Source organism: Homo sapiens, chromosome 20 (assembly GCF_000001405.40).
Source record: "Homo sapiens chromosome 20, GRCh38.p14 Primary Assembly".
Taxonomy (NCBI): Eukaryota; Metazoa; Chordata; class Mammalia; order Primates; family Hominidae; genus Homo; species Homo sapiens.
The window spans coordinates 6011141-6024159 of NC_000020.11; the positions used below are offsets into that span (position 1 = coordinate 6011141).

The following is a 13019-nucleotide window of genomic DNA, read 5'->3' on the forward strand; positions in this document are numbered from 1 at the left end:
TTGTACAAGGTTGGTCTGAGATCTATATGAGCATCCAGACAGGCGGTGCTTTGGTGCCTCTTCAAACTAATTTATGTTTGAAAAGCTTTGCTCAATATTTATTGAGTGAGAATCGAGAGAAACTAGTTTTATATTAATAAAAGTTGTATGCCGTCTTTCTTTGTAACATCAGCTGTTCTCTTCGAGGTTCATAGAAACAAAATTCCACCTTCCTAGTAGCAGTAGCATTGGTGGGCAACATAAAATTAACAGAAGATTTTGGAGTGCAGACAAAAGAGAGCATTTGCATTGTTACATGGCATTTCCAAACCTGCTTCAAACATAGCCTCCCAAATTGGCTTTACCTCTCTTTTTCCAGAGTTTAGCGTCTACTAATATTTGTCACTACCTCTTCCCATTCTCACAATCTTTCTCCTTTTCTTTTGTCCCTGCTTTTTTTTTTTTTTTTTTTTTTTTTTTTTTTTTTGGGGAGACTGACTCTGTCGCCCAGGCTGGAGTGCAGTGGCGTGATGTCGGCTCACTGCAGCCTCTGCCTCTTGGGTTCCAGCAGTTCTCCTGCCTCAGCCTCCTGGGTAGCTGGGATTACTGGCATGCACCACCATGCCTGGCTAATTTTTGTATTTTTAGTAGATATGGGGTTTCATCATGTTGGCCAGGCTGGTCTCGAGCTCCTGACCTCAGGTAATCCACCCACCTCGGCCTCCCTCGGCCTGGGATTACAGGTGTGAGCCACCACACCTGGCCTGTCCCTTCTTTTATCCCAAAGCCTGCATTCATTGTTAATATTATCTCCAAGTCTGTCAAAGGCCATTATACTGATAACAGTTTTTTTTTAACATAACAGACAAGATCTTTTTCAGTTACTGTAGTCTCCTTTTTTGTCTGCTACGTTTTTTTTTTTCTTGTAAGCTGCCACATGAGATTGCAGTATTCATTGAATGTTAGAGAGGCCCCATTAACATTTTACTAAATATATAAGATGATGTTTGTGGAAACCTAAGTTAACTGGTGCCACATTTCACATTTGTTCCATGGAGATTTTAGTGCCTTTCAATTGGCCACTGGGAGGTGGTCGGACTCATCAGTTTAAGCCAGGGAACGACAAAGTCTGATTGCGTTGTGTGTGGAAAATGGATTATAGACAGCTAAGAGTGGAAGCTGAGTAAGTGGTTAGGGGGCTGACCATGATCCAGCAAGAGTGGAAGCAGAGTAACTGGTTAGGGGCTGGCCGTGTTCCATGGCAGCCGTGGTGGGAGCTTAGACTGGGGTTGGAGTTTGGAGTTGGAGAGAAGTGTGTGGGTTTGAGATATATTTTAAAGACAGAAGTAATATGTGGATGGATTAGATATGGAGTGAGAGTGGGAGGAGTCAAATATGAATACTAGGGACTTACTTTAAAAAAAAAATTCTCTTCTAAAACCAGGTTCATGGAAATGACATTTTCTGTGATGGGCAACACTTGAGTAGGGCAGAGTTTAAGGGAGAATACTAAGAATTCTGTTGCCTATCCACATAGAAGTATCAGTTGGGCAGTTTAGTAGTTTGGAGTTGGAGGAAGTCATCGTTACAGAGAGAGAAATTTGGGAGCTGTCAGATATAGATGGTTGGATCTGGGTAAAATCATCCAGGCTGAGGTAACAGGAATGAAGGGTCAGAGAAATGAGCAACAAGTAAAGCACCAGAAAAGAAGCCAGTCAGGAACCCTGGGAAGGAATAGCTGGCGAGGAAGAAAATTAGGCAGTGAGATTTCCCAGAAAGTGGAGAAAGTGCTTCAGTTGTGTCGAGGTCAGGTACTCTAAAAATGCGGAGTTCCTTGGTGACCTTTATGAGCCTCACCTCTGGAGGGGTGGGGACGATTGGAGTGGGTCGATGAACACATGTGAGATGGTAATGACATTGGACGTTCCTTTGAAGCAGTTTTGCTTTGTAGGGGGATAGAGAAATAGGATCACAGAAGGGTCTTTTAAAAAGATATATACTGGGGAATTATATCTATGTGTATATAGATAGATAGATATAAAATCCTATATATAAAAATATATGCTGGAGTATATGTATATACTGGGGAATTTTTGTTTGGCCTTTTTTTTTTTTTTTTTGAGATAAATCTCGTGTTGCCCAGGTTGGCCTTGAACTCCTGGCTTCAAACGATCCTCCCACCTCAGCCTTCCAAGTAGCTGGGACTATAGGTGTGCCACTGTGCCCAGTGAATTTTTGTTGTTAGTTAACTGATTAATTAAATGATCAGGTAGAAAGATTAAATGAAAGGGAGAGATGGATGATGCAAGGGGAGATGGGGAAGAAGGGAGGCAGGTCACAGAAGGTGAGAGGGCATGGGAACGGATGAAGGAAGGCAGAGAGAATGAATGGATGCAGGTAGGTGGGGGATTTGATGATGGGAATATGAGGATGGGCTGACTACGGTTTTCTTTTTCCTTAAGGAAAATACAGACATGACCATGAGCGAGAGGGATGGAGTTAGGTCTGAGGTGAGAGCAGAGACAGTGTGGAAGAGACAGTGTGAAAAGAGAGGGTAAATATGGTAAACAAGTGTGGGATTGCTAGGCAGTATTGGGTGCCCATGGGAGATTTGTGGTCATCAGTTTGAAGTGAGACCAGTCTTCCCATTTGTGTGTTTTCCTTAAGCACTATTCAGCTCTTAGGTGCAGGCCCAGAGTACATGGAGAGTTGCTTTTAAGCAGTGTTGAAGGAGAGTGGAGTGAAGGGGAGTTACAGATGTTTATAAAGGAATGATGTTGATGACCTTGGAATCTAGTGTGGATTAGAGGAATAGTGAAGATGAGAGGGTGATGATGGCGAAAAAGTGAAAGGTTAAGTTCCCTGAGGTCAGAAACTGAACTAAACCTGATCTTCCAAGGTCCCAGCTCCCCAGGCTAGGTACTTTTCTGTTCGTATGCTTAAGAAGGAAATAGATTTTTTCAGTTGCAATAGCAATAGCTAGTAACTGCTTTTTTTGAGGATTTACTAAGTGCTGAGTGCTGAACAAGTATTAATCACATTGTGTGCTGAAGACAACCACCCCTTTGAGGTAGGTAATTTATCTCTGTTTTACAGATGAGGAAACTAAGGCTTAGTCAGGCCAAATAACTTATCCAAGATCACACAGCTACTAAGTGGCAGAGCCAGGACTTGAACAGCTTCTGTTCTGCTACAAAGACCACATTTTTTTTTACCACGGTCCTGGACTACCGCTGTCTCCTCTAACTCATTGGAATACTTGAGATATGGACAACTTACTTGTTCTTTAAAATGAACCATGATTAATTGCGTCTAAATTAATCTTTTTTCCCCTTAGAAATAGTATTAGAGAACTCAAACATTTGTTGAAACTTGAAGTTAAATGAGTAAAAGCCAGGAAGGGACTTGGATAAACCAGAAAATATCTGCCTTGTTTAATGTGAATAGACAGTACTTGATTTCAGTCCATTTTGTGGCCCCAGAGTGGCCAGACCGCTCCCTTCTCAAGTTAGGATGGAGACCTGGGTTTTTATGGGAAGAATTGAATACTTACATGTTGATAACTAATTACAGTTTTTAAAAGCTCTGATAGGTCAAACAGAACCAGCTTACAGGCTCCATTTGGCCCACTAGCAACTAGATGTGACTTATGCTTTAAATGGTTTATTTTTAATCACAATAATATAAAAATAAATAATTTAAGTATCAGAATTTTAACTAGGCCAGGTAGAGAGGATTGAGTTTTCTATTCAAATGTAGGTAATGCAGATACAGTCAGAGTATGGAATAAACAGTGGTATTGAGCAAAATGAGTTGAAAAACAGAAAAATGGTAAGTTTTAACAGAGTTGGATTATATTATCCTAGTCCAGGCTCTGCCGTTCATGCTTTCTTTGAGTTTTCTTTGGGTTCTTTATAGCTGTAAATACATCACTAACCGTATCTCTAAATGTGTATTTGGGTTCATCCCACAAAGGGGCCTTGTGAAAATACCGAGAAATAACCAGAAGGACTTGAGGGGGAAAGAAAATAAATGTGCATTTATTTTAAGACCAGTTGCTAATTTAAAAGCGAAATGTATACCAGCAAAAGAATGAGAATGTTTGGGGGTAAGAAACAGAAGACATTTTGTTAACATTTTATGAGAGTATAATTGTTATTCTGGTATATCTTAAGCTTCAGAATATCTGCTTTGTTCCTGTTATGACATTTATATATATAAAAAAAAACTTCTATTTTCAGTTGGATGGATTTATTGCTCGAAACTGGGCCAATCAAAGATCAGCTTTGGGAAGTGCTCTTGATCCACTTGCTGATAAAATACTTATCAGTATCTTATATGTTAGCTTGACCTATGCAGATCTTATTCCAGGTAAGAACGCGTCATGCGTACTTTTGAATAGCACAGGGAAGAATGACATTAGTCAGCTTAGGATTTCTCTTGAGAGACAAATAATTTTTGTTCCAAAAATATAGTTTTCAACTTTAAACTGTTTCCCTAATTTTAAACTGTTGAACTGTTTTGTCAAACTACTTGTGGATTTTAGAATTTATGTCCTTGTTTTACTAGTAAAATCAGTTGCTTTCCTAGTAAGATTGTTTAAAATTAAAATTGAATAAATATTTCACAGTGCCAATTCATATTACTCTGAAATTTTTTGGTGATACATTATGTATTTTTAGTGCCTAGCTTTTCAAAAGCAATTTAGTTTTCCTACGTTTATTATCTTTATTAATATCGTTTAATCATAAGTGAGAACTCTGAAATTCTGAAGATGTCTATAAAATTTCACATTATGTAGACCCTATTATGCAATTTTTAAATCATATATATAGTTTGTACATTATATGAATACTTTTTCTGATAAGATTTCATGATTTTTTTGCTTTGTATTTTGCATGTGCTTTTCTGATTGTTCATTTTCTTCTTCAGTCGTATTTCTCAGTTTTTCTCCCTCAGACCAAGTTAAACTGTTTTTTTCCCAAGAGCTAGGAATCATATCTGATCACACTGGGACTTCCCTTCACTGTCAGTCTAAGAGTTTGCATTTTTGAGGTTTAGGAAAAGGGAAAAAAAAGGAAGAAAGAAAGAAATTGTATCTGAGAACAAAGAAGCTGCCACATGGTCCCTCGGTATCATGTTATTATTGACACTTGGTAGAAAGAAGTATAGTGGCATTTCAGTCTAGTCTCCCCCAACTGGAAATTATTTTTCTTTCTGATTTTTAGTCTTTTAAGTTCTCGTACCAAAATAAAAAATAAATTGGACTAATGTTTACTTTTATGTGCTTCTTTGAAAGTTAGAATTGAGGTGTGTATGTGATTGGGGAATGGGGGTGTGTGTGTGTGTGTGTGTGAGTTTTCTTGCCTAGGCTGGTCTCGAACTTCTGGGATCAAGTGATCCTCCCACCTCGGCCTCCCAAAGTGATGGGACTATTGGCTTGAATCACCTTGCTTGGCCCCTGCCATTTTTTCAAAGTTACATTGTATTTTGATGTAGTATTTTACAAAGGTTGGCCAGTCATTTTGCTATTGAACATAGAAATTGTTTCCAGGTTTTTTGGAATTATGGGTAATGTTGCTGTGAGTTTTACTTATATGATTGGTGTAGGTTGCTTTCCAAGCTGAGACTTCCCTTCACTGGCAATCTTAGAGTTTCCATTTTCTTTCTTCTGTGTTGAGTCTGTTTTTCCAGGCTCCCATGTCTTCCTTTGCTTTAAGTTACTCCTTTTCTCCAGTTGTTTTCTGTAGAAGGATGGAGTGTGGCAGCCAGATTTTTAGAGGTCTTAGACATCTCAGTGTCTCTATTTTGTCTTCCATACATGATTGACAGTTGAAGTAGGCATCACTTTTTTTTATCTTTTATCTTTTTTTCTTTTCTTTTTCTTTTTGAGACAGGGTCTCACTCTGTGACCCAGGCTGGAGTGCAGTGGTGCAATCTCAGCTCATTGCAGCCTTAACCTCCCAGCTCAAGCAGTCCTCTGACCTCAGCCTCCCAAGAACCTACCACCATGTGCATCACCACGCCTGGCTAATATTTGTACTTTTTGTAGATATAGGGTTTTACCACGTTGCCCAGGCTGGAGGCATAATTTTTAAACTGCAGATGATTTTAATTCAGAATTGTGAAGACCCTCTTCCATAGACTTGGAGATTCCAACTTGCTACGGAACAGTCTCTTATCATTTGGATACCTTTTCCTTTACATGGGATTGTGTTTAGTATTGGAAAGCTTTTAGGATTTTAAGAAAATGTGATTCCTAATTGATGTTTTCTTTAAAAAGTTATCTCTCTTAATTCATTTTCTAATGCTTATATGGCTACCCAGTTATCCTAGCACTTTTTATAGAAAAATTTGTATTTTTCAGACTCAGTGCAAGGTAATTTCTAAGTTGTTTTCTTCCCCATTGTTTGTCTGTCTTTGCATCAGTGGCATTCTTCTTATTGCTTTGCTAAAAGTCTTGATATCCAGTAGAGTGAGTCCTTCCACCTTGGACATTCTTAGCCCTTTCCATTTGTTTCCATTTGTTACAAATTTTAGAATCAGCTTTTCTAAGAATCAGCAATTTTCCAGAGAAAAATCTGTTTGGATTTTGATTGGGATTGCAATGAACTTATGATCTGTTTGGAGGAATTTGCATCTTTACAATGTTAAGTCTTCCAGTCCAGTATCTACTCCATTGAGGTCTGCTTTAATATCTCTCAAAGTTTTATAGTTCTCTCCAGAAAGATAATAAACACTTTTGTTAGACTTATTCCTAAGTACATGATAGTTCTTGGTGCTTTTATAAATGGTAGCTTTTAAATTTCATTTTCTGGCCGGGCACAATGGCTTGCCCCTGTAATCGCAGCACTTTGGGGGGCTGAGGTGGGCGGATCACTTGAGATTAGGAGTTCAAGAGTAGCCTGGCCAACATGGCGAAACCCTGTCTACTAAAAATACAACAATTAGCCATATGTGGTGGCACGTGCCTGTAATCCCAGCTACTCAGGAGGCTGAGGCATGAGAATATCTTGAACCTGGGAGGCAGAGGTTGCAATGAGCCGAGATTATACCACTGCACTCCAGCCCGAGTGATGGAGTGAGACTCTGTCCTCAAAAAAAAAAAAAAAAAAAAATTATTTTCTTATAACTCCATGTTGATATGAAAAAATCAGTACTGTTTCTAATGTTGATTGTTATGTCTAGCGAAACTTGCTAACTTGTATTCTAACAATATACATATAAATTTGCTTGGATTTTTTACATGCTTATTTATGTCTTGTATGTAATTAATGACAACGTATTTCTTCTTTTCCAGTCCTTTTACCCTTTGTTTCTTTTACTTGCCTTACTGCACTGAGTAGTACAGTGTTGGCAAGGAGTGGTGTCAATGTCTTATTCCCAACCTCATAGAAAAGCCTTTAGCGTTTCACTATTAAAGATGATGTTTGCTGTTGGTTTTTGTCAGTATCCTTTTTCAAGTTAAGAAGTTCACTTCTGTTGGGAGTTTAAGAGTTTTTCTCACAATTGGGTACTGAATTTTTTTGTGTTTTTTGTAGAGATGCGGTTTTGCTATGTTGCTCATGCTGATCTTGAACTCTTGGCCTCCCAAAGTTCTGGGATTATAAGCATAAGCCACCACCCCTGGCCTGGATATTAAATTTTATCAAACTCCTTTTGTGTATTCCTATGGTCATATCATTTTTCCCTTTAGCTGTTCATGTGTGGTGAATTACACATATTAATGCAATATTAGTTCTAATGTTAAAACAAGCTGCAATTCCTGGTATAAATCCAACATTGCCATGATATATTATGAAGAGATTGCTGGATTTGGCTTGCTAATATTTTGTGGAAGATTTCAAATTTTAATTCATGAGATTGGCTTGGAATTCTTCATATATTCTTGTTAGGTTTTCATATCAAATTTATAACTAGCCTCATAAAATGAATTGGGGACTTTTTTTTTTCTTCCATTCTTGGAAGATGTTTGATTATGAATATTTCTACTTAAATGTTTGGTAGAATCTGTTAAAGCCGTTGAGGCCTGGAGTTTTCTTTAGGGCAGAGTTTTAAAATAGGTAATTCATTTTCTTTAATTGTTACGGGATGATTCAGGTTTAAAGTACATCTTTTTTTTTAACCTTCAACCAACTCACTCCATATTACACCTTTTGACCAGTTTTTAAGTTGTGATGTTTTTCTAGGAATTTGTCCATTTGGTCTACATTATAAAAAATGTATCATACGGTGTTTATGGTATCCTCATTAACTTTATTTATTTACTTACTACTCCTTGTGGAGCAGGGCTACCCTATAGGCAGTGGGCCCAGAATAGCTCTCATTAACCTTTTGATGTCTGTAGGATATGTAGTAATGTCCTCCTTTTCCTCTTGATTATTTTTTGTCCCTTTTTTTTTTTTTTTTTTCATCTTTTTTGCCAGAGGTTTGTCAGTTTTATGAATCTTTTGAAAGAATCAGCTTTGGGTTTTGTCAAGCCTCTCTGATCTGTTGTTTACTACTTCATTACATCTTGTAGTTTTATTTTTTTTCTTCTTCAGGTTTTCTTTGCTGTTCTTTTTCGAAATTCTTTTTTTTTTTTTTTTTTTGAGTGCAGTGGCATGATCTCAGCTCACTGCAACCTCTGCCTCCTGGGTTCATGTGATTCTCCTGCCTCAGCCTCCTGAGTAGCTAGGATTACAGGTGTGTGCCACCATACTTGGCTAGTTTTTTTGTATTTTTAGTAGAGACGGAGTTTCACCATGTTGGCCAGGCTGGCCTCGAACTCCTCACCTCAGGTGATCCTGAAGTGATCCTGACCTTAGGTGCCTCTACCTCTCAAAGTGCTGGGATTACAGGTGTGAGCCACCATGCCTGGCTCTAAATTCTTTAGATCAATTCTGTCTAGAAATAAAATGAAGATTCTTATGTAATTAAAAATTTTTAGTAGTTTTTAAAAAAGGAAACATGAAAATTGATATATTTTAAGTAATCCACTATATCAAAAATATTGTCATTTTAACATGTAATCAATAAATTAATGAGAATTTTTTTCCTATACGCCTTCATAGTCTAGTGTGTGTTTTGAGCAGTGCAGCTATAAGTGGATACCTAACTTGTTTTTCAGCTTTTCTTTTCTAAAGATTGCATATAAGACTGTATATGTTCCTCTAAGTGTCACTTTCATTGCATCTCCTATGTTGGTTTTAGTGTGTCATTGTCCAGTATACAATATTTTCCTATTTCCATTATTATTCTTTCATTGACCTGTTAGGTTAAAAATAAATATATCTTAATTTGTTGCCATTTTTGTGGGGATTTTTTTAGTTACCTTTTTGTTACAATTTCAGTCATAATAACCTTGTGTTCAGAGAACATGCTCTGTGATTTCAGCCTTTCAGCCCACTACTGTCAGATTTTATAAATATTCCATGAATACTTGAAATGAATTGAAATGAATGTATATTCTGCAGTTCTTGGGTATGATGTTCTTCATAGGTCTATTAGATCAAGTTTTTAATCCTGCTTTTTTTTTTTTTGAGACGGAGTCTTGCTCTGTCGCCCAGGCTGGAGTGCAGTGGCGCAATCTTGGCTCACTGCAAGCTCTGCCTCCTGGGTTCACGCCATTCTCCTACCTCAGCCTCCCGAGTAGCTGGGACTACAGGTGCCTGCCACCACGCCCGGCTAATTTTTTGTATTTTTTTTTTTTTTTAGTAGAGGCGGGGTTTCACTGTGTTAGCCAGGATGGTCTCGATCTCCTGACCTCATGATCCGCCCTCCTCTGCCTCCCGAAGTGCTGGGATTACAGGCGTGAGCCACCGCGCCCGGCCTAATCCTGCTTTTTAAGTCTTCTCTTTCTTCACTGACTGTTCTTTTGCTTTTGGTTTGTTCAGCAGTTAGAGTTTCCTACTGTATGTCTGGTTCTCCAGTATTTGTCTCTGTAGTTGTGATTTTGTTTTGTATCTTTTTTTTTTTTTTTTTTTGAGACGGAGTCTCGCTCTGTCTCCCAGGCTAGAGTCCCATGGCACCATCTCGGCTCACTGCAGCCTCTGCCACCTGGGTCCAAGTGATTCTCCTACCTCAGTCTCCTGACTAGCTGGAATTACAGGTGCGTGCCACCATGCCCTGCTAATTTTTGTATTTTTAGTAGAGACGGGGTTTCACCATGTTGGCCAGGCTGGTCTTGAACCCCAGACCTCAAGTGATCTGCCCGCCTCGGCCTCCCAAAGTGCTGGGATTATGGGTGTGAGCCTCTGCACCCGGCCTGCTTTGTATGTCTTGAAGTTATGCTGTTAAAGTGAATATGAATTAGAATTGTTACGTCTTCTTGGTGAAGTGAATGTTTTGTTATGAAGTGACCCTCTATAGCTGTAGTAATGATTTTTACCTTAAAATATATTTTGTGGGTTCTTAAGCTCTGCTGGCTTGCTTTTGGTAGTGTTTGCATGATAAATGTTTTACCTTCTACATTTCTGCATCTTTTTAGATATCACTTGTAAATAACATATTTATGTAAATATATATGTAAATAACATATTTTAAATAAAACCCATTTTGTCTTAACCCATATAGTCTTTTAACAGAAGCATTTAACCCATTAATATTTATTGTGATTGATAGATGTTTCATTCAGTCTTTTATTTTACTTGAAGTATTTTATTTGGCACATATGTTTTGTCCTTTTTAGTATTTTTAAATTATATTTTCTTTCACTCTACTAGTTTGAAAGTTTTACACGGTTTCCATCCAGTTTTCCTCCAAGTTAAAACATTTATCTTTATAAAAATATGATCTTAATAATTCTGTACTCATTCTGGGCATGGGAGGCACCTTAGAATTCTTGAACTCCAATTATTTCTCTCAGCTTAGGCTACTGTTGTCATACTTTTATATATTTCTTAAACTCACAGATATTGTTTATACAATGTTCATTTAAATTTATCTTCATATTTATTACTTTTTGCTAGTCTGTCTTGTTTGATGTATTTTAGACCTCCCATCTGAGATCATTTTCCTTTTGTCTGAAGTATGTTCTTTTGGAATTATTTTTAATGTAGGTGTACTGGTAAATTCTTTTTCTCTGAAAATGTTTTTATTTTGCCTTTATTCTTGAAGAATATTTTTGTTATGTATAGAATTCCAAGTTGGTATTAGTTTTTCTTAGCATGTTTAAGGTATTGCTCAGTCATCTTCTTCCATTGTTGATAATAAGAAATCAGCTGTTAATCCATTGCTTTTTTTTTTTTTTTTTTTTCAAGACAGGGTCTTGCTCTGTCACCCAGGCTGGAGTGCAGTGGTGTGATCTCGGCTCACTGCATTCTCTGCCTCCCGGGCTCAAGCAGTCCTCCTACCTCAGCCTTCTGAGTAGCTGGGACTACAGGTGTGTGCCACCATGCCCATCTCATTTTTATATGGTTTTTAGAGATGGAGTTTTGCCTGTTGCCCAGGCTGGTCTTGAACTTTTGAGCTCAAGCAATCCACCCACCTTGGCCTTCCAAAGCGCTCTGATTACAGGCAAGAGCCACTGCACCCGGCCATGTTGCTTTTTTTGAAGGCAATTTTGCTTTCTTGTGGCTATTTTTAAGATTTTCTTTGTGTTTTGTTTTTCTCAGTTTCACAATAATATTTCTTGTTGCAAGTTTCTGTTTTATTCTGCTTGGGATTTATTGGACTTTTCAATCTGTGCATTATATCTTGAAGTCAGTGCTAGAAAATTCTCAGCCACAATCTCTTTAAATGTTGTTGTTGTGTATTCTTTCTTTTCTTTTGGGGCTACAGTATACCTATGTTAGACGTTCTCCCCGTATCCATTACATCTCAGTGGGTTTTTTCTGTGTTAGCTCATTTTATCTTTTTGAGCTCCATTCTGGCTGTACTAATGGGTTTACTATTTTTCATTTCATTACCTGTCTCTGTAGCTGTACCAAATCTATTTAATCTTACTTTATTGTATTCTGTAACTATAGAACTTCTATTTTATTCTTTTTTGGACTTGCTAAGTTGTCTTTTATGGTTTTTAGTTCCATGCTGAAGTTTTCAGTATTGACTTATCCCCTTGAACATGAGTTGTTTTATAGACTCTGATGATTCAAAAATCTTACATCTTTTGGTAGTCTCTTTCATTTGTTCACTGTTTCTGTTGATTCTTACTCATGGTATTTTAATTCTTCGTTATTTTTTTTCTGTTTAGATACATTCTTTGAAAAATAATTTGGAGGAATATTTGATTCTTATGAACAAGGCATTACTCACCAGAGAAGATTTTTTTGTTCTACCAGGTGCCTAGGAATGCTAACAGTCTGGGACCACATAGACCACCAGGTGATGAGACAATCCTGGGAGTCCTGTTTTACTTTGGCCCATCTTTTCTCCCAACCCTGTGGGAATAGTCATTCATATCCTAGCTGCAGGCTAGAAGGTGGTTTATCAGAGCCCAACTTCGAGGGCTCTGGGCTTTAGCTACTGTCACCCCATCATAACTGAGCTTCATGGATTGATTCTCTTTTTATCTTTCAGATTTTCTTTTAAAAATCTTTGTTTTTTTTTTTCTTCCGAAAGATTCCCCCAACATTACCATTCCCCACCTTCCGTTGAATTTTTTTGGCTCTCATTTTGAATTTTTCAAGAGCTCATGTTCTTTGTCTTCATTAAAAAAAAAAAGTTCTTATATCGTGTATGAATGTCATTCGGGATATCTATACATACATGCACATACCTCATTTTTATTGCATTTCACTTTATTGCACTTTGCAAAGTGACATTTTTTACAGATTCAAGGTTTGGCAACCCTATGTCCACAAGTCTGTCAGCACCATTTTTCTAACATATGTGCTCATTTTGCCTCTCTGTCACATTTTTTTTTTTTTCCTGAGACAGGGTCTTGCTCTGTCACCCAGGCTGGAATGCAGTGGTGTAATTATGCCTCACTGCGGCCTTGACCTCTTGGGCTCAAGGGATCCTCTTGCCTGCGCTTCTTGAGTAGCTGAGACTACAGAGGTACACCACCACACACCCAGCTAAGTTTTAAATTTTTTTATAGAGATGGGGTTTCCCTATGT

General features: G+C 37.8%; 1 protein-coding gene across 13 annotated transcripts in view; it reads left to right on the forward strand.

Moving 5' to 3' along the window:
* The window catches only part of CRLS1 (cardiolipin synthase 1), a 34116-nt gene that overhangs the window by 5203 nt on the left and 15894 nt on the right, over positions 1-13019 (forward strand). For 9 of the 13 annotated variants that reach the window (NR_136617.2, NM_001323562.2, NM_001323563.2 and 6 more), the window contains exon 3: positions 4221-4350. The exons of 1 other annotated variant lie outside the window; for it this stretch is intronic. Coding sequence is in view for 9 of the 12 variants with exons in the window: in NM_001323562.2 (NP_001310491.1) it covers positions 4221-4350 (130 nt within the window). In the remaining 3 variants the exon portion in view is untranslated. Of the gene's footprint in view, positions 1-4220; positions 4351-12151; positions 12283-13019 lie in introns of all 13 variants that reach the window. 3 more of the 13 variants (XR_007067458.1, XM_011529263.3, XR_007067457.1) reach the window with 2 other exon arrangements.